Source organism: Homo sapiens, chromosome 1 (genome assembly GCF_000001405.40).
Source record: "Homo sapiens chromosome 1, GRCh38.p14 Primary Assembly".
NCBI lineage: Eukaryota > Metazoa > Chordata > Mammalia > Primates > Hominidae > Homo > Homo sapiens.
In genome coordinates this window covers 207,878,762-207,904,376 of record NC_000001.11, presented here as the reverse complement: position 1 = coordinate 207,904,376, position 25,615 = coordinate 207,878,762, and the positions used below count along the sequence as shown (strand labels likewise).

Here is a 25,615-nt window from a genome sequence, read left to right as displayed (position 1 = left end):
TACTTCCTGGCAGAGGCTGGCATGTCCCTTCATCCTAGTTCTGTAACTCTATGGACTAAGATTCCCAGGAACTCCTTCGAGATACTCCTCTTGATCCAGGTGCTAGAATATGAAAGCATGGGCAAAATAAGACTGGCAGGCTAGGAGATCAGGAAACAGCACCAGGAAAAAACTAAGGAGGGCTGTGAAAAGCAAGACCAAGTATAGGAAAACTCAGTCTCTTAAAATATGGGGATTTAGTTATTTTGGTAGCAGAGCTTTCTGGATCGCTGAGGATTTGCAAACTCACTTTAAAGAACAAAAGAGTCTTCAATTTACTAGTGGCAGGTAGAAATATTTTCAAAATGTATTGCACATGTCTTTGCTTTCTTAGAATACCCCCCCGAAAAGGACTTTATGACTCAGATGTATCATGAACATGTCGTGGCTATGTTGCAACTCAGTGACATCATTAATGCTTATTAAGGTATAGATATCTAACCTATTCACTCCTACCATAAATGATTCAAGAAAACTGGTGTGAGTTTTCATACTTATGTCTGCTTTTCATTTATTTCTGTTTCTTAGTTTTCAGCTGTTGCTTCTCCTTATTATTTGCTTCTAATAGGCTCTTCCTACGTTTCAACTTTAGCTAGGATATCAGATAACCAGGGTTATTAGAATTATGTGTAAAACAAGAATAATTGACTCTGAAGAAGTACCTGAAAGTTCAGTGCATGACTTTTACTACATGAATTTTGTGACATCTCTTAGAATCCTCATTTTACTAATTTCTTGAGACCTTGTCTCCTCCCTTGCTCCCAGTTCATAAGTTGAGATCAACTAGAGTAACTAAGGGTCAAATGGAGTCCCTAGGGAAACACAGTTAATAAGGATGGACTGAGAAGTAAACAACAGAAGAGAGCTTTTTATTCAACTTTAAATTGTACTATAATTCTTGTAGCCTTGTGGGTAGGGACCGTTCCTCCCATCTAGAATGAAAAAGAGTGGAGGTTTCATCAATTGTCTCTTAGGATGTGACAAGCTCTCACTGACTGGTAGGCTCCTGCTACTCCCCTACAGAGTTGGGAGTCAGAAGGTCAGATAAAGAAAGGTCAGTGTTTGATGGTTTAATGCCATGGATGTGTGTGGGAAGACAGGATAAAAAGAGATCTGTGGTCAGTCTTGACTCTCATAAATGTCATTCCTCCAGGGCTCTAGAGACTGTGAACCTAAAAGATGCACTCTCCCTGCTGTGCCGCAGTGTTTATGCCAGGATTGGCTCCAGGCCCCTGGCTAAGGTGTCCCCTTGCTCTGCACCAGCTCAGGCATTTCCAGTCACTCAGTTTGGTCTTTCTGCCCTCCCACTTGTCCTGTCCCCCTGGTGTCTCAGAGGGTGCTCTGCTCACCCTGGGGTCAGAGCCCTGACTCTGAAGTTGGGGTCCCTTTCTCATTTGCAGGTGGATCCTGCTACTCATTCCACAGCGCTCGGCCTGGTGGTGGGTGGAGGGGCTGCTGCAGCTGCGAGCCTGGCCCCAGTGGGTCAGTAGCTGGCTTGGGTCCAGAGTTGCTTTGCTCTTCTGGAACAGGCACCTCTGTCCTCAGAACTAGCAGCAGGTCTCACTCCACATCTGGAAAAGTTCAAAAGTGTTTGTCTAGGTGAAGGAGGCCCTTCGGGGGAGGGGATTCAAAAGCATGACATCATCTCAGTCAGGCCCAGCTTCCTCTGGAGAGAGAAAAGGGCTGGGCCAGGGTGGACCAGATGGGGTCCCCAGTAATCAGTATGCTGGGGGCGAAGAGGAAGAGAGCAGGCAAGAAGAGGAGTCTTGGAATGGTGTCTTGAGAAGGTGATCCTTTAATTCAGTGTCTGAATACTGCCCCCTTGGATGAATTCAGATGAATCTGACCTTAAAGTCAGAGTGGTGAGAGGGTCCCATCTAAACAGGAAAGAAGCCTGGATTGGCTTCTGCATCAATTTATTTTGATCAACCCACCTCCTGTTTAAGCCAGATGGGAGCCCATCCTTTTCTCTACAGAGATGTGGGGAATAAATTCCGATTTTTTGGCAGTTTAGACCCAGCCTAACCTCCTTGTTGCATCTACTCAAGAGTCAGCTAAACGTCAGTGTTCCATTGCTGCTTCCCTTCATGAACTATGGCCTTCCTTTTGGGCAGCACCTTGGTGATTCAGGCTCTTCATCTCTAAGACAGAGATAGTGATATTCCTTCTCCCCACTGCTTACCTGACACATAACAGTAAGACACGATTGCTGCAGTCACCATTAATAGCAATCTGCTTGCAGCAGGTTGTGGAAGGAAGCAGATATGAGAGAGTGAAACCCTTGTCATCACCTTTAGGGAAACCGTTCTTGGCCCCAGGTTGATGGCCGTGAAGCCAAAAGTCTAACTTCCCTCTTGATCCTGAGGGAAACAAGAGATGTCATTCTACCTTGCTGTTTACCTGGAAATCGCTGAAAAGTACAGATCTAGATCCCAATCAGGAAAATTTAGAGACAAGCTTTAGGGTGGCCTGGGACCCTCAGAGGCTCTTCCTTGAAGATGCAACTGCCTTTATGAACTCTGGATACCAAGTTCACCCTTAACATTTACAAGGCCCAAGGCAAGAGTACAACAGAGGCCTACATACTATATTTCTAAACATTTCAAGGTTGTAAGTCAGGCCAACTAACTAATAAAATATCTTCTATCCTCTTACCTTGACAAACATATCTTCGTGATCACCTGGAAGGCCAAGTTTCAATTTGGGATGCTCAGATTCTTGGAATTCACTGCCACAGTGCAGCTTAGCAGGAAGAGATGGCTCCTGGCCCCAGCCCACTTCCCTTCATCTACTTTCTACCCATGACTCTGGCTCACATTGCAAGGCAATTGCATGTGTGCCTGGGACACCCCACCCACAGGCTTAAGCACTAAGCACTAACTCTTCTCCCTGCAAGCAGTCATCATTTGGCCACCACTGGGCCTTGGGGGTGTACACCCTTGTGCTGCAGTTCCCCTTAGCAGGATGGACTGGGAGAAGCGGCCCATCGTGGATGTGAGCAAAGTGCCATTTGATCAAGAAGTGCTAGGACTTCTGGTCCCCACAGTATGACCTAGAAGAGAGGGTACATCCTGATTGGTCCTCACAGGAAGCAGGACAGGGTGTGGGCTCTTTGAGGCATAGGGTTCAGTCAAGAAGCTTCTCCTTCCTGTGTCTAATGAGGATACTGACTGGGAATGGTGAGTAACATCTGTAATCCCAGAGCTTTGGGAGGCCAAGACAGGAGGATCACTTGAGGCCAGGAGCTTAAGGTTACAGTGAGCTATGATCTCACCACTGCATTCTAGCCTGGGTGCTGTGATGACAGAGCAAGACCCTGTCTTAAAAAAAAAAAAAAAAAAGTATGTATCCCAGGATATACAGAAGAGATGTGCAAAGACACTCATGAAGATCTTCAGAGAAAAATGAGATCCAAAACATTATACTATAATACTATAATAACTTAGCATTTGTTATCTCATTGTTTATCCCAGCAATCCATGTAAGGTAGCCAGAAAAGACCCTTACTTAAGAGGTAAGAGAGCTGAGATACATACATGCATTAAATTACATGGTTAGTTATTGGAAGAGCCAGAACAAAGCTTGTCTACCTTCCCACTACATTGATGAGAAACCAGACCTTGTGTTCCCTGGTTCATTAGCTGAATTCCTAGGTCAGAGCATGCTAAAAGAAGAAAAGGAAAGGCGAATGGGTTTGAAGGCCATGAGCAAAAGGATGAGGGGAGTATGGGAATGGGAAGTCTGAGAAGTATAGATTTTTAAGGGGATCGCATAGAGACAGTGAGTCTAGTGATTATTCCAAGAGTTAGTATACTGGATGGAGAGTGACCAAAAAAGAGGATACAGTGAAAAGAAAAAAGAAGCATGACCTTTTGCACACATTAGATCTTTGCAATATTTATGCAGGTGTAATTTTATATTTTAGTATGTAACTAAACATACTATGAACATCACCTCATAGTTCCACGTTGCTACAGTTTTTATAATTTTTTTCTTTCTAATGTTTGTTTATATGATTATATAATGATTATGGTATATTAAGTGCATATATCACTTATCCTATCATAATTCATTTAGTTGTTCACGTTTCCCTCCTATAAATAATACTGTATGAGACATTTGTATGCATATAAATCTTTCCTTCCCTATGTCCTCAGGGCAAATTTGGTAGTGGGAAATTAATCCACTGTCCAGGAGTATGTTCTTGTTGCTGCCAACAAGGGGCAGCAGGGAATGTTCTAGACGAATTCTACCTGAAGTCAGGAAATTGCATCAGGTGATATCACCAGGCTGATATCTTTAGGTTCTGATTCTTCCTCCTCGTTTCCCTATAGCTTCTGGGTTCATGAGTCTTGACAACAACGGTACTGCTACCCCAGAGTTACCTACCCAGGGAACATTTTCAAATGTTTCTACAAATGTATCCTACCAAGAAACTACAACACCTAGTACCCTTGGAAGTACCAGCCTGCACCCTGTGTCTCAACATGGCAATGAGGCCACAACAAACATCACAGGTAAAAACAGCATTTGTGTCAGATCCCGGAGAGATGCTGGTGATGCTTGGGTAAAGCATTTAGGATGTTTTCAGACCGCTCCCCTCTCCACAGAGGAAATTATACAAGTCCCTAGTATTAATGACTTGAGTATCATGCTTAGGGTGCCCTGAAGTAAGTTCTAGATAATTCTTCCTTCAGTGACAGTTTTCTCAGGCCCATGTCTTGGGAGCTGATCCTGATCAGTAATGCCTCCATACCCCTTCTCTCATGCTGAGTCTAGCTTAGTGATAAAATAAGGATCAGAAGACTCAATAGAGATCTCCGATCTCTTCTAAAGGAAAGAAGGTGGGTACAGGTCCAAACTGGGGGTCTTTGGCTTCTCTAAGGTAGACCAGCATCTATTTCAGTTTCAGGACACCTCTAATACATTCTAGATTCTAGCTCTTGTTCCAACAGCTTGAAATGAGTTTGGTCAGGGATGGGACACGAAGTAACTGTTAACTCCCCAAACTCCCTTTTCTGTGTTGAAGTGCATGCCCATATCATGACCTGAGATTTTGTGTATCTATGAGCACATGCACACATGCACACCCATGTTTTGGTCTCTTCCAGAAACGACAGTCAAATTCACATCTACCTCTGTGATAACCTCAGTTTATGGAAACACAAACTCTTCTGTCCAGTCACAGACCTCTGTAATCAGCACAGTGTTCACCACCCCAGCCAACGTTTCAACTCCAGAGACAACCTTGAAGCCTAGCCTGTCACCTGGAAATGTTTCAGACCTTTCAACCACTAGCACTAGCCTTGCAACATCTCCCACTAAACCCTATACATCATCTTCTCCTATCCTAAGTGACATCAAGGTGGGTGAATTGGGCCAAAAATGGCAGATTGCCCCTCACTTCATATGTATGCAGGCAAGCTGTTTCTTTCCCTCCACCCCTCTCCTCATCCCTGCCAGTGGGATTTGGGTCATGTGGGAATCAGCACGGAAATACACAGTTTAAATATTGCTGGGAGAAGTAGAAAGAGGAGGAAAGGGGTAGAGTTAGGTGGTAAGGCCCATCCAGGCTTTGGGTATTGCATTTTAGGGAATAGAGAGTAAACGGGATTCTCAGAGATCCATCCAATCCTCTGGTTCTTTCTAGTACCTATCAGTGGGGCTTTGACCAGGACACCATTTCCCTTTGGGAATATTTGGCAACTATTGCTTATTTGCTGGGGCTGCTTCTCCCACAATGGTTAGGACAAATAACATTTCCTCTACATGAGAGGGTTTGGTGGTTGTGCCAGGCACAGAGAGGCAGTAAAGGGGGGCATTGGCAATGGCAGGAACTGGGCAGACCAGGGATGGTGAGCTCAGCCTGGCCTTCTCAGCCTTAGGGCCTATGACTGTCAACAGCTTTCAGCATGCAGGACAGAAAATATGAGGGCCTCAGTCATGAGATATGCCCGAGGGATCTTTCTGCTTTCTGTTTTTAAAGGAGCCAGGGCCAGGCGTGGTGGCTCATGCCTGTAATCCCAACACTTTGGGAGCCTGAAGTGGGCAGATCACTTGAGGTCAGGAGTTCAAGACCAGCCCGGGCAACATGGTGAAACCCCGTCTCTACCAAAACATACAAAAATTAGCTGGGTGTGGTCATGCACCTGTAGTCCCAGCTACCCAGGAGGCTGAGGCAAGAGAATCACTTGAACCAGGGAGGTGGAGGTTGCAGTGAGCCAAGATCATGCCACTGAACTCTAACCTGGGCAAGACTCGATCTCAAAATAAATAAATAAATAAATAAATAAATAAATAAATAAAAGAGCCAAAATGGGAATTTGGAGAGTCCTGGAGGCCAGGAGAAAAAACAGGTACCCCAGCATCTGCTGGTCCACCCCATTATCCCTGTTTGCCTATATGGCCTTCCTGCAAGTTTGTGATTGACTGGAGAGAAAACAACCCAAATGGGAAAAGATCCTCCCCTCTCCCAGTCCTGCACCATCCAAGCCAGTGTTTACCAAGGTTGCAAATAGCTGCTTGCCAGTAAGCCCAGGCTAGTAACAAAAGTTTTGTCATCTGATGAGGATAGATATGAAATAGACGAGAGTATGACTATTAGAAATCTCTAGTCCCCTGACAAATTTTAAATGTCCTTTTCCTTAAAACCTCCTAAGAGAGCACCTCACAGAAAGCAAACTGGAAAAAGTTGGGAAAGAAATGAGGAGCAAAGATACTGGCTTATTTACTTTGTTTTTGTTATTGTTTTTGTTTTAATACAGGCAGAAATCAAATGTTCAGGCATCAGAGAAGTGAAATTGACTCAGGGCATCTGCCTGGAGCAAAATAAGACCTCCAGCTGTGTAAGTCAACCCCCCACCCAACCTCTTCCTCCCGCCCCTGTCCCTTTCCTCCATCCCTTCTGAACACCCTTAAACCTTCTTGGATTGCACTGGATTTGAGTAGGGGTCCGGGGAGTTTAGCTTGGTCAGCCTGCCTTTAATACTGAGCTTTCTGTTTAGGGAGTAAGAGGCCCCATCTGGTGGGCAAAAAAGACAATAACAATTTTAATTATTAATAAATTTTGTTATTTTTCCATCCTCTATAGTACTTTTTCCCCCTCCTCTATAGTACTTTTTAAATTTTCCCCTCCTCTGTAGTACTTTTAAATCTGAGAGAGTCAGATTTAAGTTGCTTTTTGGTTAAGAAAGTCCTTCTCACTCACCAGATATAAACTAGTCACCTAAAATGTCAGTTCATTTATTATTTCATTTATTATTATTAAATATTTACACGTAACTCTTTAATCCATATAGAATTTATTTTGCTGTAATGTTATATTTTCCATGTAACCGTTTTTCCTAACATTATTTGTTGAATGACTCCCTCTTCTGTTGCATGGGATGTATCCTTTAGCTTATATTAAGTTTTTATATGTCTTAGGGCATACTCTTCAGACATATTTTATTTGTTCAGTTTGTCTGTACTTTTGCCTATTTTAAATTTTCAAAATTATTGTATGTTTTTACTACAGTATTTGTAATATCCAGTCAGGCAGATCTTTTTTTATTACACTGTAAAAAATGTAAATTATTTTTTTCTTTTTGAAAAAAATGCAAAAAAAATGCTTTAAAATTTGAATTGTAATTGCTCTAAAATTTCTTCATTTTTTCTGGTTTTCTTTTGCATCTCTCAGCATCTTGTTTCTTTAGCTTTTTTCTCTAGATTTGATGGATGTCATAGGCCTATTTGTCACATAGATCTCCCACTATATATTCAAATTGATTGTCACTGATAGATTAAAAAGTTAATAGAGTTTTGAACAATTATTTTGGGTTTGGCCAGTTTCTTGAATTTGCCTATTGATTCTAGGAGCTTTTTAGTTGATTCCTTTCAATTTTAAGGTAAGCTATCTTGTTATCTACTACAATATATTGCTTTTCTCCTCCTGTTTAGTAGTTATGCCTCTTGTTTCAGTTTCATGTCTTACTGCATTGGAAAGAATGTACAGGGAATTGTGTTATTTTAAATGATTCTGGCAGACCTTGCTTTGTTTCAGTAAATCTAATTTCCTAACAGTAACATGGCTCTGGAGGAAGGATGAGGTGAAGGAAAGAGTGGTATTTACTTACAGAAGAAAACATTTTCTTACAAGTTGGGGATCCATCTAAGGGAATCACATATGTGATGTGCTGGCATGCATAGACTGGAAAGATCGCAGCCTGTAGAGGGCTTAAATTACTTATTTTTTCCATTCTAACTCGGTAGTTTTACTACGATCATCAGTTGGGTCTCTCTGACTTACAAATTTGTAAAAATTATACCTGAAAGAATTTAACTTAGGACATCTAAAAACAACAGAAATAGTGAAGACATGAGTTTGCATAGTAGAATAACTAAATGCAGTCTGCAAAATAGTTAACTTAAACATGAACATACAATGTACAAGTAACATGCAGCATGTTTCTGATGCTGATTTTCAACTCAACTCATTAGAAAAAAAATTGTCAAGTTCTTTGCTAGTTGTAGCCAAGGAAAATGACGATCTTTCCCCCTGCAACCCCATCGACTTGGTGGAGCATACATTTTGCTGTGTATCACACAGGTATGTGCCAGAATGCTAATTCTTTGTGCCTGGAATTTAGAGTTAACTGCAGAGCCTTTGCCTTTCTGTTGCTCTTCAAAGCTCACATGTAACTTGGGTCACTGTATGAGAAAAGTGCCAGAAACTTACTGCTCTTTTAGAAATAATTCCTCCTAACTCTGCTGTGGTCTTTGCTGTCTGGCCTACTTCGTGCCACAGCTGAGAAGGTCTCTGCATGTTCCTCTAAGATTGAGGTAGTATCTGTGAGTGGGGATGTGAAAAGAGAGCAGCTCCCCTCCAGTTCCTATGCCAAAGAAGACTTCCATCCACACTGCCCCTTCATAAAGCAACTCTGTGGCAGCTCATATGAGTGCTTTTGTTCCCCTGGTCTCTCCACCAGTGTTGATCCCCTTTCTTCCTGAGGGCTCCTCATCCTCAGCCCCCATGCGGCAAAGCCTCCTGCTACTCCCCAAGGTAATTTATCCTCAGCTTGCTATCCTGTTCCAAAATGTTTAGCCACAGCTCCCGATTATGTCCAAGATGACCTTTCCTTGGTCCCTACTCCCTGCTTGTCTGATAAACAATCTGTTCCAAAAGCTGCGAATGCTGCAGAGCCTCCTAATTTTCCTTAGGTTGGATTTGTACTTTCGGTGTCAGAGGGCCTTAAGGTATTGGTTCTAATGTTGGGAGCCTCAGGCCCTACCTAATACCCTGGTGAAGAGCAGGAAGGATTTGGTTTCCCCGAGCATCACATCCTTGATGTATGTTGGTATGCTCCTCATCTAATATATGCCCATAACAGGAATATATGTGCATGAGTCTAGCTATCCAGACACTCATTCTGCACTGACACATAGTGAGTACCAATATGTTAGCTCACCCTATGTGGATTCTGTAGGCGTGTCTTCTGTATGTGCATTCTGTAGACATGTCTATCCCAATCACTCTTTTTTTTTTGCTCCCCAGCCATCATCTCTAGGCAGCCAGGGGAAGGGAAGGTGATACCACTCTCATCTCAAACACCTTTTACCATATCTCAGCACCCTCATTAGTAGGATGTGTCTTCCTGAGTCTAACTGTCATTCTTTTGGCAGCAGTGTCAGCTTAATTTAGTTTTTGTGGTTGTGGTTCCCCAAATAGTTTCCAAAATGTAAGATTACTTTATACTATTATGCTACACCCATTTGTCCAGAGAAACCCACCAAAATATTTTTAATTGTGGTAAAATATACATAACATAAGTCATCACCTTAACCACTTTTAAGGGTACCATTGAGTAGTAGTAAGTACGTTCACATTATTGTACAACCAATCTCTAGAACTGTCTGCATCTTCCATCACTGAAACTGTGTACCCATGAAACAACTCCCTGCTCTCCCCAGACCCTGGCAACTTTCTGTTCCTATGTTCCTATGACTTTGCCTACTCTAGGTACCTCATATGAGTAGAGTCATAGTGTTTGTCTTGTTATGTGACTGGTTGATTTCACTCAGTATAATGTCTTTAAAGTCCAACCATGTTGTAGCACGTGTCAGAATTTCCTTCCTTTTTAAGGATGAATGATATTCCATTGTAAGTGTAAACCTTGTTTTGCTTCTCCATTCATCTGTTGATGGACACTTGGGCTTTTTCCCCTTTAGGCTAATGTGAATAATACTGCTTTTAACATAAGTGTACAAATATCTCCTTGGCAACCTGATTTGAGTCCTTTTGGGGATATATCCAAAAGTGAAATGGCTGGACCACATGGGAATTCTATTTTTGAATTTTTGAGGAACCACCAGACCGTTTTACATTCCCACCAGTAGGGTACAAGGGTTCCAATTTCTTCTCATCCTCATCAACACGTGTTATTTTCTGGGTTTTTAAAATAGCAGCCATCCTAATGGGTATGCGGTGGTATTTCATGGTGGTTTTGATTTGCATTTCCCTGATGATTAGTGATGTTGAGCCTCTTTCATGTGTTTGTTGGCCATTTGTATATCTTCTTTGGGGAAAAGTCTAGTCAAGTCCTTTGTCCGCCAATTTGTATACCTATCTTTAGTACCACATCTGTTTATATGCAGAGTTTGTAATTACTCAGCTAGCTCACTTTACTCTTATTCACATTGACTTCATCTGAGGCAGGCTGCCTCCAGCTTGCACTAAAGGTCAGTTTCCATGCGGAAAACATAAGTTACAGATGAAGGATTTATGAAGATGGTGTGTCTACTGGAAAAAGCCTGCAATCTGGAAACGATCTCACTTCTCATCCTTCGTTAGCTGCCCCCACTTGTTAGGTGACTTGAAACAGGTCCCTTCATTATTCCATTTTCTATGTGAAAATAGCGTTTTCACCTGCATTGTCAAACTCACACCAAAATAGATAAAATTATATTAAAAGGGGTTGGGGGAGATGATTGATCCTAGAATCTCAGCGTTCTAGGATCTTAATATCTTAAATATCTTAAAGGTCATTAGAAAAATACCTGTCCCTCCCTCACCCCCATCTCCGTCCCCATTGCAATGCTTGATGTTAAGAGTCTTTGCAAAGTTTGAGAATGCTACTCTAGAGAGGTTAGATGGGTTTATTGTGTTTGCAGAGAAACATGTGTGAGCTGATGTAGTTAGGAGCTTGTAAATCTGATTCTCATGAACAAAATGGTGAGGCTGTGTCTTCCTCCTGCCCACTCTCCCGTGATGTTTGCCCACAGCCTCTCTTGGGGGAGGATGTTTATTCCAAGTGTCCGGAGAAGCATTGTGCTTTGTTCAGGATCCACCTGCTCCTCTTGGGGCCCAAACACAATTCACTGATGCGGTTGGATTCCAGAGTGGGAGGCTGGCCGCTATTATTCCCTTGAATCTAGTCCAAGAAACTGTGCAAGGGGTGGAGGGACCCTGTGTGGAGGCCAACTGGTTGGGATGTTAAGTTGAACAACAATTCCCTGAGTTCTTTTGTTTGGTGCCACGGTTCATGCAGTCTGGGTTGTAAATGCTATAATGTGCACTCCCCCCAACACACACTTAGGAGTCTTACAATCTAGTCACAGAAAAATGACAATAACAATGCATAGAATATGATCAATATGTAGACTCTAGATGATATGGTATATAAGGTATTACTATTATTAATAATGATAGTAGCAGCTGCTATTTATCTAGTGCCCACTAGATTCTCAACACCACATTGGACACTTTTTTTTTTTTGAGACAGAGTCTTGCTCTGTTGCCCAGGCCGGAGTGCAGAGTGTAGTGTTGTGATCTCAGTTCACTGCAACCTCTGTCTCCTGGGTTCAAGCGATTCTCGTGCCTCAGCCTGCCGAGTAGCTGGGATTACAGATGCCCACCACCATGCCCAGCTAATTTTTGCATTTTTTAGAAGAGACAAAGTTTCACCATTTTGGCCAGGCTGGTCTCGAACCCTTGGCCTCATCTGATTTGTCCATCTCGGCCTCCCAAAGTGCTGGGATTACAGGCATGAGCCACTGCACCCAACTGGACACTTTCATACAATATCTATTTAGTCACCACAACAACCTAGTGTACAGCTGAGGAACATGACACTCAGACTAGTTGCATGACTTGCAAAGAATCCAGTAAAGAGCAGAGTAAGGATTGATGCCCAGTCTGGTTGAAGGTAGGACCAGCTTCATTGAGGAGGTAGAAACTGAGTTGAGTCTTGAAGGATAGTGAATACCAGGGAGAAGGTAGTGTTCTTCATTCTCTTTGAAATGAGGGTTGTGGAATAATGCATGCTGTCCCCATCTTGGGCTTCCTGGAGGTGGGGCCTCAGTTCCAAATGCTCTTCCCCACTGGCTTCCTCTGCTCACCCTCCAGCCATTCTTCAAGGCCTATAGTGACATGTGTCTGCTAACCTTAACCAGACGTGTCCTCACGCTCCTTAGTATGTCCATAGCACTTTGGTTGTACCTTTCTTATGGTGCTTACCATGGCAGTAGCTCTGGCCTCTGGAGTCTCTTCACGCCTCCATTTCTTCATCTACAAAATTAGTAGAATAACTCTACCAATCTCGTAGGTCGTGTGAGGCCTAAATGAGTTAATATATGGAAAGCACTCAGAACTGTGCCTGGATATCATAGGCATCTGTTACTTTATTTTTTATTTCTTTATTTTTGAGCCAGGGTCTCTGTCACCCAGGGTGGAGTACAGTGGACTCAACCTCTCAGGGTGGAGAGACCCTCCCACCTCAGCCCCCCAAGTAGCTGGTACTATAAGTGCATGCCACCACACCCGGTTGAATTTCTAAATTTTTTATAGAGATAGGGTTTCCCTGTGTTGCCCAGGCTGGTCTCGAATTCCTGGGCTGAAGTAATCCTCCCACCTCAGCCTCCCAAAGTGCTAGGATGACAGGCATGAGTCACCGCGCCTGGTTGGCATCCATCATTTTAATTGCCGTACATGCAAACTGAAAGCTTTGACAAGGTGGAATTCATAGATACCTCCCAATCCCCACCCCCCTACACATGACACATGAATACAACACACATACACATGACACTTGCACAGAGGCTTTCACGCAGTGTCCTATATTCAGGGCTTGATACATTGTCAAGGTGTGGCTTCTTGCACTCAGCAGGTGGAGGAAGGTGCCATTTGGTTTGGCTAGTTTACAACCTGCAGGAGCCCTGTCCCTCTGCCTCTCTTGGGAAGCAGACCTATTTCAACTGGAGATACTTCAGAAGCCCAGAGTCATCCAGGCAAGAAACCCCCTCCTCCTCATCCAGACTCTCGGTGCTGGGGAGCGGGGGTGCTCAAGGGGAAGCCATGTAAGGCTCCCCTGAGACAACTGGGTTTAGAGAGGTGGAGACTGTTGATTGGTTCAGTGTGGCATTCAGACTACTTAGTTCAAATGCTGTTCAGAAAAACGGATTTTTCCAGAGTTAGAACGTCTATCCAAGGACTTACTGGGAGACCTGCAGAATTGCTCCTTTTCCTGAGGAATGAAGCAGCAGTGGCCTGAGAACTCATTTCTCTGTAGCCTTGTTTCCTGGGGGTTTTTTGAGGCTCCAGTTTGGGCTCGTGTCTCTGTGACCTGGAGTTTGGCTAACCACACTCTCCTGGCCTTATCCAAGCCCAGTTGTTTTCCCTCAGCTGCTTCAAATTCCAGCTGGGTCCTGAGGCCAATCTTGACCTTGCTTTGTGTAGGAGCAAAGGAGCCTGGGTTTTCCTGCCTTGGGTCACAGCAGTGGGAAAATACCCAGGCTCCATTCCAACTGGGAGGACCCTGTGGCCTTGTTGCAAGCAGCGGCCCTGCCCGCAAACAGGAAGCTTTCTCCTCCACAGAGACCCAGTTCTGATGATGGTCACACACCCCAGCAGTTTTCCCCTAACAGGAAAGTTGTCAGGGCTGTTCAGGCATTTCCTTCTCTGCCATCTGCCATCCGGACTGAAGAGAAAGTCTTAGTTTCAATTCCTTTCCTGTTCAGGGGAGGAGGACACTCTGATTGGAGGCTGCTGGAATAAATTCTGACTCACTATTGAAGAATTATCAGAGTTTTTCTTCTGAGTCCAAATTCCTGGGTCTGATGGCCCAGTCAGCAACCTGAAGAAAAATCTATGAACTTCATTAAAACTGGGTTCCATGCTTTTAATGGAAAACAGAGATGGAAGACGAGACAAAAATGCCATTTCAGTTTGAGCAATGCACTTTTTGAGACTCCTTTGGGTAGAAAGAGGGAGGAGGCCACTGAGGTTTCCACTGAGTGTATATTATAGATTTGTTCTCTCCTCCTCACCTCCCTTGGCTTTTCTTCCATCATTGGGGACTGCTGTAATCTTGAAACAGAATATTTTCTCTTAGTTATTATTGCATTATTAATATTTTCTGTTTTTGGCCATTTCTTTTGAGTTTAATTTGCATATGTGTACATGGGCAATGCTTCAACGAGACAATTTTTTTAAGTTTGTTCTCTAACATCTTAGATACTAGAAGATATGGATTTTGGTCCTGGGAGATTATTTAGGTTTTTTTCTTATTGTGTTGTTGCACATATACAGTTAGCAGTTTTTTTTTTTTCTGTTGGAATTTTAGAAACAAGGATCCTTCTTGCGGACGGGGTAAGAGTATGACTGTAATCAGAGACTCTGGGTGCAGTTTAGGGCAGAGCAGTAATTTCATCTCTTGCTCTCCATGTTTCTCTGTCTTCCCAGGCGGAGTTTAAGAAGGACAGGGGAGAGGGCCTGGCCCGAGTGCTGTGTGGGGAGGAGCAGGCTGATGCTGATGCTGGGGCCCAGGTATGCTCCCTGCTCCTTGCCCAGTCTGAGGTGAGGCCTCAGTGTCTACTGCTGGTCTTGGCCAACAGAACAGGTAAGGTGCACCTCTGCCTGGGGGAACAGGGAAGGAGTAGGGCTGAGGTTAGAGAATCCTGGGTGGAGATGGGGCATCTTAGATCCAGAGAGACCACAGGTGCTGGGGAGAAGGACTTGGCTGGCTTTGGGAGCGGTCCCCCCGAGATGGACCACCCTGGCCATCAGAGCATCTTCTAGAACAGCATGGGAGGGTGGAGCAGGATAAGCTGGTTTCTCTTTAGATTTAGCAACCCTTGTTTCTAATTCTAGAAATTTCCAGCAAACTCCAACTTATGAAAAAGCACCAATCTGACCTGAAAAAGGTAAGTCCTCTGAGATGATGGGCCTGAGAGGGAATGCCGGGGCAGGGGGGCTCCCTGGAGTAAGGGGGGAAGTCATTATCTTCCCCAGTTCTACCTACCATCCTTCTCTGAGTCTTCTCCTTTCTAGTCTTGAACCAAAAATGGTGGGGTATGACTGAATTAAGAGACGTCAGTCTCAAATCCCATTTCAAAAATTCCTGAGGTCAATGCCCTCAAGCATCTGTTCACTGTTGAGTCACACACAGAGGGCTGGAGCGGGCTGGGCTCCACTTTTGGCAAGTGACAGGCTGTATCTTCTTTGTCTTCTTTTCAAGCTGGGGATCCTAGATTTCACTGAGCAAGATGTTGCAAGCCACCAGAGCTATTCCCAAAAGACCCTGATTGCACTGGTCACCTCGGGAGCCCTGCTGGCTGTCTTGGGCATCACTGGCTATTTCCTGATGAATCGCCGCAGCTGGAGCCCCACAGGAGAAAGGCTGGTCAGTTCTGGGGGCCAGGGTAAAGGAAATGAGGAAGATAGTGGGTTTCTGGGGAGTTCAGTGGATGTCATGGAGCAGGAGGAGAAATACTAGAAAAAGCCCTTCTGTGAGCTTACATAAAGATATGCATGTGTGCACACACAGTAATCGGTGGAAGATTCAAAATATTATGTAGCAAACTGGGGAGGGGACAGTAATGGTGCCAGCCCACCTACTCGGTGTGGTAGCAGATGATTCGTGTCATCTATTCATTATGTTTTCTGGGATAGTTCAGCTTGGGGCCACCAGAACAGGCTGTTTAATCAGCCACACTGTATTTGCAACCGTGTTAAATGCCCAGTGGGTGCCCCCTTGCTCAAAAGGAGGTATACGGAAGGAGAATCCCCATTTGCCATTCTGGATGAGGGAGGACAAGGCTGAGGTCTGAATCTTGGCCTCTGGCCTGTCCCCTACCCTGGGGAGGTCATCCCACCCTTCTTGGAACTGCCCGTTTTCCTGCGGGAGCTGGCTGCCGAGCTGCGGTGGCATGGTGTGGTGCCTCTCCTATGTCCTTTCTCCTCTAGGAGCTGGAACCCTGACCACTCTTCAGGAAGAAAGGAGTCTGCACATGCAGCTGCACCCTCCCTCCGATCCTTCCTCCCACCTCCCCCTCCCCCTTCTCCCACCCCTGCCCCCACTTCCTGTTTGGGCCCCTCTCCCATCCAGTGTCTCACAGCCCTGCTTACCAGATAATGCTACTTTATTTATACACTGTCTAGGGCGAAGACCCTTATTACACGGAAAACGGTGGAGGCCAGGGCTATAGCTCAGGACCTGGGACCTCCCCTGAGGCTCAGGGAAAGGCCAGTGTGAACCGAGGGGCTCAGGAAAACGGGACCGGCCAGGCCACCTCCAGAAACGGCCATTCAGCAAGACAACACGTGGTGGCTGATACCGAATTGTGACTCGGCTAGGTGGGGCAAGGCTGGGCAGTGTCCGAGAGAGCACCCCTCTCTGCATCTGACCACGTGCTACCCCCATGCTGGAGGTGACATCTCTTACGCCCAACCCTTCCCCACTGCACACACCTCAGAGGCTGTTCTTGGGGCCCTACACCTTGAGGAGGGGCAGGTAAACTCCTGTCCTTTACACATTCGGCTCCCTGGAGCCAGACTCTGGTCTTCTTTGGGTAAACGTGTGACGGGGGAAAGCCAAGGTCTGGAGAAGCTCCCAGGAACAATCGATGGCCTTGCAGCACTCACACAGGACCCCCTTCCCCTACCCCCTCCTCTCTGCCGCAATACAGGAACCCCCAGGGGAAAGATGAGCTTTTCTAGGCTACAATTTTCTCCCAGGAAGCTTTGATTTTTACCGTTTCTTCCCTGTATTTTCTTTCTCTACTTTGAGGAAACCAAAGTAACCTTTTGCACCTGCTCTCTTGTAATGATATAGCCAGAAAAACGTGTTGCCTTGAACCACTTCCCTCATCTCTCCTCCAAGACACTGTGGACTTGGTCACCAGCTCCTCCCTTGTTCTCTAAGTTCCACTGAGCTCCATGTGCCCCCTCTACCATTTGCAGAGTCCTGCACAGTTTTCTGGCTGGAGCCTAGAACAGGCCTCCCAAGTTTTAGGACAAACAGCTCAGTTCTAGTCTCTCTGGGGCCACACAGAAACTCTTTTTGGGCTCCTTTTTCTCCCTCTGGATCAAAGTAGGCAGGACCATGGGACCAGGTCTTGGAGCTGAGCCTCTCACCTGTACTCTTCCGAAAAATCCTCTTCCTCTGAGGCTGGATCCTAGCCTTATCCTCTGATCTCCATGGCTTCCTCCTCCCTCCTGCCGACTCCTGGGTTGAGCTGTTGCCTCAGTCCCCCAACAGATGCTTTTCTGTCTCTGCCTCCCTCACCCTGAGCCCCTTCCTTGCTCTGCACCCCCATATGGTCATAGCCCAGATCAGCTCCTAACCCTTATCACCAGCTGCCTCTTCTGTGGGTGACCCAGGTCCTTGTTTGCTGTTGATTTCTTTCCAGAGGGGTTGAGCAGGGATCCTGGTTTCAATGACGGTTGGAAATAGAAATTTCCAGAGAAGAGAGTATTGGGTAGATATTTTTTCTGAATACAAAGTGATGTGTTTAAATACTGCAATTAAAGTGATACTGAAACACATCTGTTATGTGACTCTGTCTTAGCTGGGTGTGTCTGCATGCAAGAGTGACACCCTCCATTAGACCTAGCTAGACTGTGCAGTGATGTGGTGGGGAGGACCAGCCAGGGAAGAGGGAGCACCTCAGCAGACACAGGCACCAGCCAGGATGCTAAGGACCTTTAGCCAAGTCTGCCAACTATTCTCCTCCATGGGGAGAGGAAACATCCATTTCCAGTGGTAGAAAGGCAGACCCGAATGTACCAGGGAGCTTCCAAATGGAGGGTGGTATGTTGGGTTCTTAGGAGCTGTACCCTTCATGAACACCCTTCTGAGAAGAGGAGCATGCTGATCACTGCTGCAAAATATGCAAAACAAAGGGAAGGGGCAATGTCCTGTGCACCCTTTATTATCAGGCCACCCCCCTCCCCAGCCCCCCAGGTCAGAGTAGACACAGTGAAGGACTATGTGGGGACTGTTGTTCTAGAGACCTGGCAGCCAACTCAGGGAGGGGGCTGGTTTCCACCCTCAAGATTAAGACAGCAGCCTAATTAAAAAAAAAATCTGTAAGCATGTACCTCCCCCCAGCTTCCAAAACAACCCCCACCCCACCCCTACCAGGCCATAGGAAGTTGGGGAGGGAGTGCTGAGGAGCTCCAGGAAACACTCCCAAGTGTGTCGACAGTGGCAGAGGCAGTTGGGGCCAAACAAAGGTTGATTCTTCCATTCTTATCTCCATAAAGCCAGACCTTTCCCTTCAGCACTCCTCCACCCCCATCTCCTTCTTGCTTTTCTCCAACTCCTCTAATCATAGGTTCTTCCCTAGGACAGAGGGGAGGCGAAATGATGAGGTTCAGAGTCTTCCCTCAAAGGCGATGGCTGCCTTGAGGGTTGGAGCAAAGGATGATGAGCAAAAGACGATGGTAATCAGTAGGGAAGTCCAGCCCACTTGCATCTAGTTGCACATCTTGCCTTGAGAGTAATCCAGTGAGGGTCTGTCCCAGCTAGGACATCAAGTAGGAGGGGTGGGTTCAGGGTTCAGATTCCTAGGAAATATGGGAGGAGAGGAAAAGGCAACTTGGATGCACCTCCAGCTTCAGGCCTAGCAACCTGCAATGCATCTCACCCTGAGTTTGCTGGAATGTGTATGTATGCTTTGGGAGGAAGGGCTGTGTGTGTATTGCGGGGTGGGGTGGGGCAGCTGGTTCCCTCTGACAGCTGGACAGCTTGCCCTGAAGAATTTGCCTGCTTTCTGGAAAAATCCAACTTTCCCACCGTGGGCCTGAGCGTCCTGGTACAGCAATGGCGCCACCTGCTGGCCTTATTGAGGTCCTACTGCTCAGCCTCAGCTCAATCGCCTCCATGTTGGGCTTCTCTCCCTGGCTGCCCCACCCTCTAGTCCAATTTCTCTTGTACACAAAGCTCATATAACTATAGAACGTCACTGTTGAAGAGAACTTTAAAGATACATTTAATTAAACTCCCTTATGGTATAGTTAAAGACAAACTAAGGCTCAGAGAAGGGAGGTGGCTTGCCCAATCACCCAGAATTCCAAAGTCCTGAATCTGTAGTTTTCCCTTCCATCATATCATCCTACTCTTCTGCCGAGTCCTCCGTGTTACTCCAGTTGGATGTCATGAAGCCAGTGTGGCAGTGTGAAGATAGGTTTGGGACTTCACTTCTGGAGCATTTCATCAACATAAGCTATCCTAGGCCTGGCCAGCCAAGCAGGTCCTGGAGGAGCCCCAGGACAAAGATCACAGGAGGCCATGAGGTTCGGCTTCTTCGGCGCCCACAGTGAGCCCAGGAAAATTAGCTGTAGGGTATTACACTGTTGACTATGGAGAGCATATCTGGAATTATCTTCAGCCAGATTTTCATCTGAATGGATAAATGGGAATACCATCTAAGTCCAGATAAATAGATCACTTCCATCTCATCCCTTCTAGGTAGATTAATCCCACACTTCCTCTTCACACAAAACCAGTAATAGGTCATCGATTTTGTGCAACAGGATGCTGCTTCTCTTCCTAAAGCCCCCATCGAAGAGGCTTCCAGCCACCATTCAATCATTCATCAAGTCTTATGATGTGCCAGACACTGCGCGAAATGTGCCAGAACATCTGTTATGTGCCAGACACTGTTCTTGAGACTGGGGATACAGCAAACACTCATGAAGCTTATAATTCTAGCAGAAGAGGACAGTAAACAATGTCATCTCAGTAAGTATATACATGTGTTTTCAGGATTGAGAGCTATGAAAAACATAAAATATATTGAGAATAATGGTTGGTATTTTACATATGGTGGTTACTTTTAGAAAAATAACAGTGGAGAGCACAGCTTCACTTGAATGAAGTGGAGAAGCAGGTTGTATGCCAAGCTGGGAGAGATTATCCCACACAGGGGAAAGGACAAGTGCAAAGCCCTATGATGAAAAGCTGCCAAGTGCAGAAAGCCTCAGATGGCAGGGGGCAAGATGGCCATGAGGTTGTGTCAGTGAGTGGGGGTGGGGAGAGGCAGGAGGTCAGACTACATGGGGCCTTTTTAGTTGTAGATTGGGAAGCCACTGGAGGGTTTTGAGCAGAGAAGTCATATCATCTGCTTTATGTTTTAAAAGGATCATGCTGGCTGCTGAGTAGAGAATAGAGGTTGAGGGATAAGAAAGTAGAAGGAGACCGTAGCAAGAAGAACGATCATGGCTGGGAGCAGGTGATCATATTGGCAGTGATGAGATCAAGCAGAATTCAAAAAGTGGTTTCAAAGTAGAGGTAACAGGACTTGCTCAGTCTATTTATTTCTTCAAATAATAATCATATTTACAATGATAGTAGCTAACAGTTTTTGAGTGCTTACTGTATGAAAATTGAGATATGGTGCCAATATTTAAATAGCATATTTTACTTAACATTCACAGAAACCCTGTGAAGTAGGTTCTATTATCTCAGAAAAAGAAACTGAAACTCAGAGAATAACAAGGGACTGTGTTACGTGCACAGTGGCAGAGGCAAAGATGAATAGGATGTGAGTTTATTTGAACCCCAAATGTTTAAATCTTGGGGATAATACAACACACATTTAAACAAAGAAGCAAGAAAAAAAATGCACAACAGAAAGTGAGAAATAACACGAGGAAAGACTAAATGAAGTGCTTTGTATCTAGATGTGGGCAGGACCCTTTCCAGCTGAGAAGATCTGAGACTGGGTCATGAACAGGTGGTTTCTGAGTGGGTCCTGTAAAAATGAATACGATTTTGATGATAGTAATGAGTAAGGACATTTGAGACTGATAGAAGAGTACATACAATATGTAGTGATGGGGAAAGATAAGGTACTGTCAAAGGACAATGTGTTTTCTGGTATGACAGAGAAGTAGAATGTGTTAAGGGAAGCCGAGTACCAGAAAGATCCGGGTGTCACAGTTTGTGTAGGGTGTTTAAAGCTAAACCACAGAGTTTAATTTTATCCAATAGAAGAGGAGCCACAGAAGAGTTTCCATTTATTCATTAATTTATTCATTTATTCAAAAAATATTTGAGTGCTTATTATAAGCCAGGTACTATGCCAGGCACCTGGGATAAGACATAGTCCCTTCTGTCAAGTCTTTACATTGGGTGGATGTGGGAGGGACAGATGACAGAACAATATGCATTGAGTGTAAGTGCTATGGTATAGGAAGCTCTGAGTGGGAGGGGCATGGAAGCCGTGGAAGACCATGGAAGGCTTCCCAGGAGAAGTGACGTCTGGACTGATCCTTTGGTCAAGCAGGAGTTAAAGAGGAGAAAAGGAGAGATATGGGTGTTCCCGAGAGAGGAAGAAGCCTTGTCCCAGGAGCAAAGTGAGGGTGATTGTTCCAGAAATGTGAGTGATTCTTTTAAGGCTCAAGCAAAGCATGTGATTCTTCTTTATACCTTCTATTTCTTTGCTGAGTGTTTCTGTTCTTTTGTTTCAAGCATGCTGCAATTGCTCATTAAAGCATGTTTATGATGGCTGTCTGTTTTAAAATTCTTGTCAGATGGTTTCAACATCTTTATCATCTCAATGTTGGCATCTGTTAATGGTTTTTTCTCAATCAAATTGAGATTTTCCTGGTTCTTGGTATTACCAGTGATTTTAATTGCATCTGGAAATTTGGGATTTATGTTGAAAGACTGGATCTTATTGAAAGATTCTGTTTAGCACCCCTCCTTTGATACCACACTGGTGGGTCCAGGTTCCCCATTCAGCTGTTGACACCTTCAGGGCAGAGAGGTGGGATGGGGTGAAGGGGGTACCTCATTATTGCTGGCCCAGGTTAGAAGTTCAGGCTTCCCAGTAGATCTCTGCTGATACCACCCTGGTGCCATGTCATTCCTTGAGTCCAAAAGTCCCTCCCAATTCTGCCTTCTTCTCTCTACATATCGGAGTCTCCCTATGTTTGACTTATATATAATGTCCAGGGTTTTTAGAGTTAGTTAACAGGAGGCATAAGAAAAAGTGTGTCCACTCCATCTTGTCTGGAACTGGAAGTTCAAGTCGAATATAAGAGAGAGGAGAGGAAATTACAAGCCATGAGACTGGAGAGTTAGGCAGGTTCTACACCAGCTATTCTCAAAGCCCTCTTACACTCTTAAAAATTTAGAACTTCAAAGAGCTTTTGATTTTGAAAGTTACATCTATCAATTATTACTGTTTCAAAAATTAAAATTGAGAAAATTTTATTTATTAATTTGTTTAAAAATAACAATAATTATTCAATTACATGATAATGTAAGTAATGCTTTTCTTAATGAAAAATAATTATATTTTCCAAAACAAAAACAATTAGGAAAAAGAGTGTCATTGTTTTAGACTTTGGTAAATCTCTCTAATATCTGGCTGAAGAGAAGAATGCTGATTCTTTTTTTTTTTTTTTTTTTTTGAGACGGAGTCTCGCTCTGTCACCCAGGCTGGAGTGTAGTGGTGTGATCTCGGCTCACTGCAAGCTCTGCCTCCCGGGTTCACGCCATTCTCCTGCCTCAGCCTCCCAAGTAGCTGGGACTACAGGCACCCGCCACCACGCCCGGCTAATTTTTTTGTATTTTTAGTAGAGATGGGGTTTCACCGTGTTAGCCAGGCTGGTCTCGATCTCCTGACCTCATGATCCACCCACCTCAGCCTCCCAAAGCGCTGGGATTACAGGTGTGAGACACCGCGCCCAGCCCCCGAATGCTGATTCTTTTATCTGCTTCTGTATTCAATCTGTTGTGATATGATGGGTAGCCTCTGAAACACTCCACTGTATACTTGTGAAAGAATGAATGTGAAAAAGGAAAATAGATTTGTAGTATTATTATTCAAATTGTTTTGACCTCAGAGACCACTTGGAAATGTTTTAGGGAACCCCCAGAGGACCTTGGATCATGCTTTGAGAACCGCGGCTCTAGATATGTTACTATTTCAGTAGCATCTAAGTACATGTGGCTGCTGAGCACTTGTAATGTGGCTAGTGCAAATGAGAGACAGGACTTCCAGCTATATGTAATTTAATAAACTCAAATTTAAAAACTGGAACCTCATAAAATGTTTTGTTGTTGTTGTTAAACATGACCTTATAGTTTTGGTAGGAATACATTTCACTTTAACCCTTCAAAATTTAGCATTTGAATTGAGATATGCTGTATATGTTAAATACATGACAGATTTTGGGGACTTAGAAAAAAATAATGTAAGATATTTCATTAATAGTTTTTATATTGAGTATTTTTTGCTATGATAATATTTTTGATATATTGGGTTAAATAAAATGTATTTTAAAATTAATTTAAGCTATATTTATTAAAATCTTTAGAATGTGGATAATAGAACATTTAAAATGACATACGTGGTTCACATTTTATTTCTCCTGGAGTGTACTGCTGTAGATGAATTTAGATGATGAAGGCTTTGTGTGTCATGTAAAGCTTATTCTTTATTTTGAAGGTAATGTAGAGCCATTGAAAAGTCTGAAGTAGAGAAGTGACATATCAGATTTGCATTTTAGAAAGCTTACTCTGGCTTCAGTGTGGAGCATGGACTGAAGAAGGAACCAGTTAGGGTTAGGAGGTGATTGCATTATTGAAGGGTAGGAAGACTGTGGCCTGAAGAAAAGTGGCTAAACCAGAGACATATGGCTGGGCGCAGTGGCACACGCCTGTAATCCCAGCACTCTGGGAGGCTGAGGCAGGTGGATCACTTGAGGTCAGGAGTTCGAGAGCAGCCTGGCCAAAATGGTGAAACCCTGCCTCTACTAAAAATACAAAAGTAGCCGGGCATGGTGGCGCCTGCCTGTAATCCCAGCTAATCAGGAGGCTGAGGCACAAGAATCACTTGAACCCGGGAGGTAAAGATTGCAGTGAGCCGAGATCATGCCACTGCACTCCAGTCTGGGCAACAGAGTGAGACTCTGTCTCAAAAAAATAATAAACAAACAAACAAACAAATAAATAAATAAATTGGAGACCATAGTGGAAAGATGAAATCAACTGGATTTGGTTCTTAGGTGTAATAATGGCATTTTGGTTATGTAAGAGAATGTTCTTATTTCTAAGAGATGCACACAGGAATCTTTAGGGATGAAGGGCCATAATGTCTGTAATTTACTTTCAAATGTCCATCATATTCATACACACATACACAGTATATCTGTGAGATAATAAGAGTGAAAAGGTAAATAGCATCTTAGTAGTATTATGAAAAAAATATATATGGAGAGAGGGAAAGGGGAGAAAAAGCAAATATGAGACAAAATATTAGCAATTTTGAATCTACATGAAAGCAATCTAGTAAATGATGAATCATTTTAGTCTTCTTCCAGCCCTTTCTGTAGGTTTGACAATTTTCAAAATAAAAAGATGGGGAAAAAATGAAAAGAAAAAAAAAACTTTAAAAAGTCTTGGTAATCACTGATTAGATATGAGAGAAAGGGAGTGACTTTCTGGTTCCTTGCCTGGCAACAGAGTAGACAGCACTGTCCTTCCCAAGAGGGAAGTGCAAGAGGAGAAATCGAATTGGAGGGATGATGAGTTCGTTATGGAGTGTGTGGACTTTGAGGTGCTCTGGGCTCCAACAGGCAACGTGCAACCCTGAAGTTTTTGAGAGGGAAATGTGGTAAAGATGCAGACATGGGTGTCTTTAGAATCTAGATGGTAATGGAAGGTACTGGGGGACCCTGGAGTATCAAGGGCATGTGTGGAGAATGAGAAGAGATGAGGTGTGAGGATGAAATCCTGGCGGACACTGACATTTCAGGGTCAGCAAAGAAGGATATTGGAGTAGACAACTTCCAAGGTGGCCCATGACACCACCTCTTCACAGGCAGGCTTTTGTGTAGTCAGCCCCTCTCACACTGTATCAGTGTTGGCCTGTCAGACAAGAGGGGTGGAAGTGATGGCATGTCACTCCTGAGATTACATCATAAAAGACATTGTGGCTTTCATCTAGGCTTGCTACATGCTCATTCTTGTGGATCCCTTGTTCTGGGGGAAGCCATCTATCATGTCATGGTAGGCTACAGGGAGTTCCATGTGGGGAAGAACTGAAACCTCCTCCCAACAGCCATGTGAGGAAGCTTGGAAAACCTTAGAAGAGTATCCTTTAAAAAAAAGTTTTAAATTAAACACAAATAAATACATAAACAGTACAACTGCAATCTCATGAGACATCCCAAGCGAGACAACTCAGGTAAGCCATTCCACCCAGCTAAATTGCTCCAGATTGCTGACCCTAAGAAACTGCGTGAGGCCAGGTATGGTGGCTCATGCTGTAAACCCAACCCTTTAGGAGGCTGAGGTGGGAGGAT

General features: G+C 44.3%; 1 protein-coding gene across 2 annotated transcripts in view; it reads left to right on the top strand.

The window, feature by feature from the left end:
* CD34 (CD34 molecule) overlaps positions 1 to 23,405 on the top strand; it is a 30,154-nt gene extending 6,749 nt beyond the window's left edge. The window contains exons 2-8 of one of the 2 annotated variants that reach the window (NM_001025109.2): positions 4,374 to 4,556; positions 5,151 to 5,404; positions 6,804 to 6,884; positions 14,756 to 14,912; positions 15,164 to 15,216; positions 15,531 to 15,695; positions 16,454 to 23,405. In NM_001025109.2, coding sequence (NP_001020280.1) covers positions 4,374 to 4,556; positions 5,151 to 5,404; positions 6,804 to 6,884; positions 14,756 to 14,912; positions 15,164 to 15,216; positions 15,531 to 15,695; positions 16,454 to 16,639 — 1,079 coding nt within the window. In that variant the 3' untranslated portion in view covers positions 16,640 to 23,405. Of the gene's footprint in view, positions 1 to 4,373; positions 4,557 to 5,150; positions 5,405 to 6,803; positions 6,885 to 14,755; positions 14,913 to 15,163; positions 15,217 to 15,530; positions 15,696 to 16,258 lie in introns of both variants that reach the window. The other variant, NM_001773.3, reaches the window with a different exon arrangement.
* Positions 23,406 to 25,615: the final 2,210 nt, after the last annotated feature.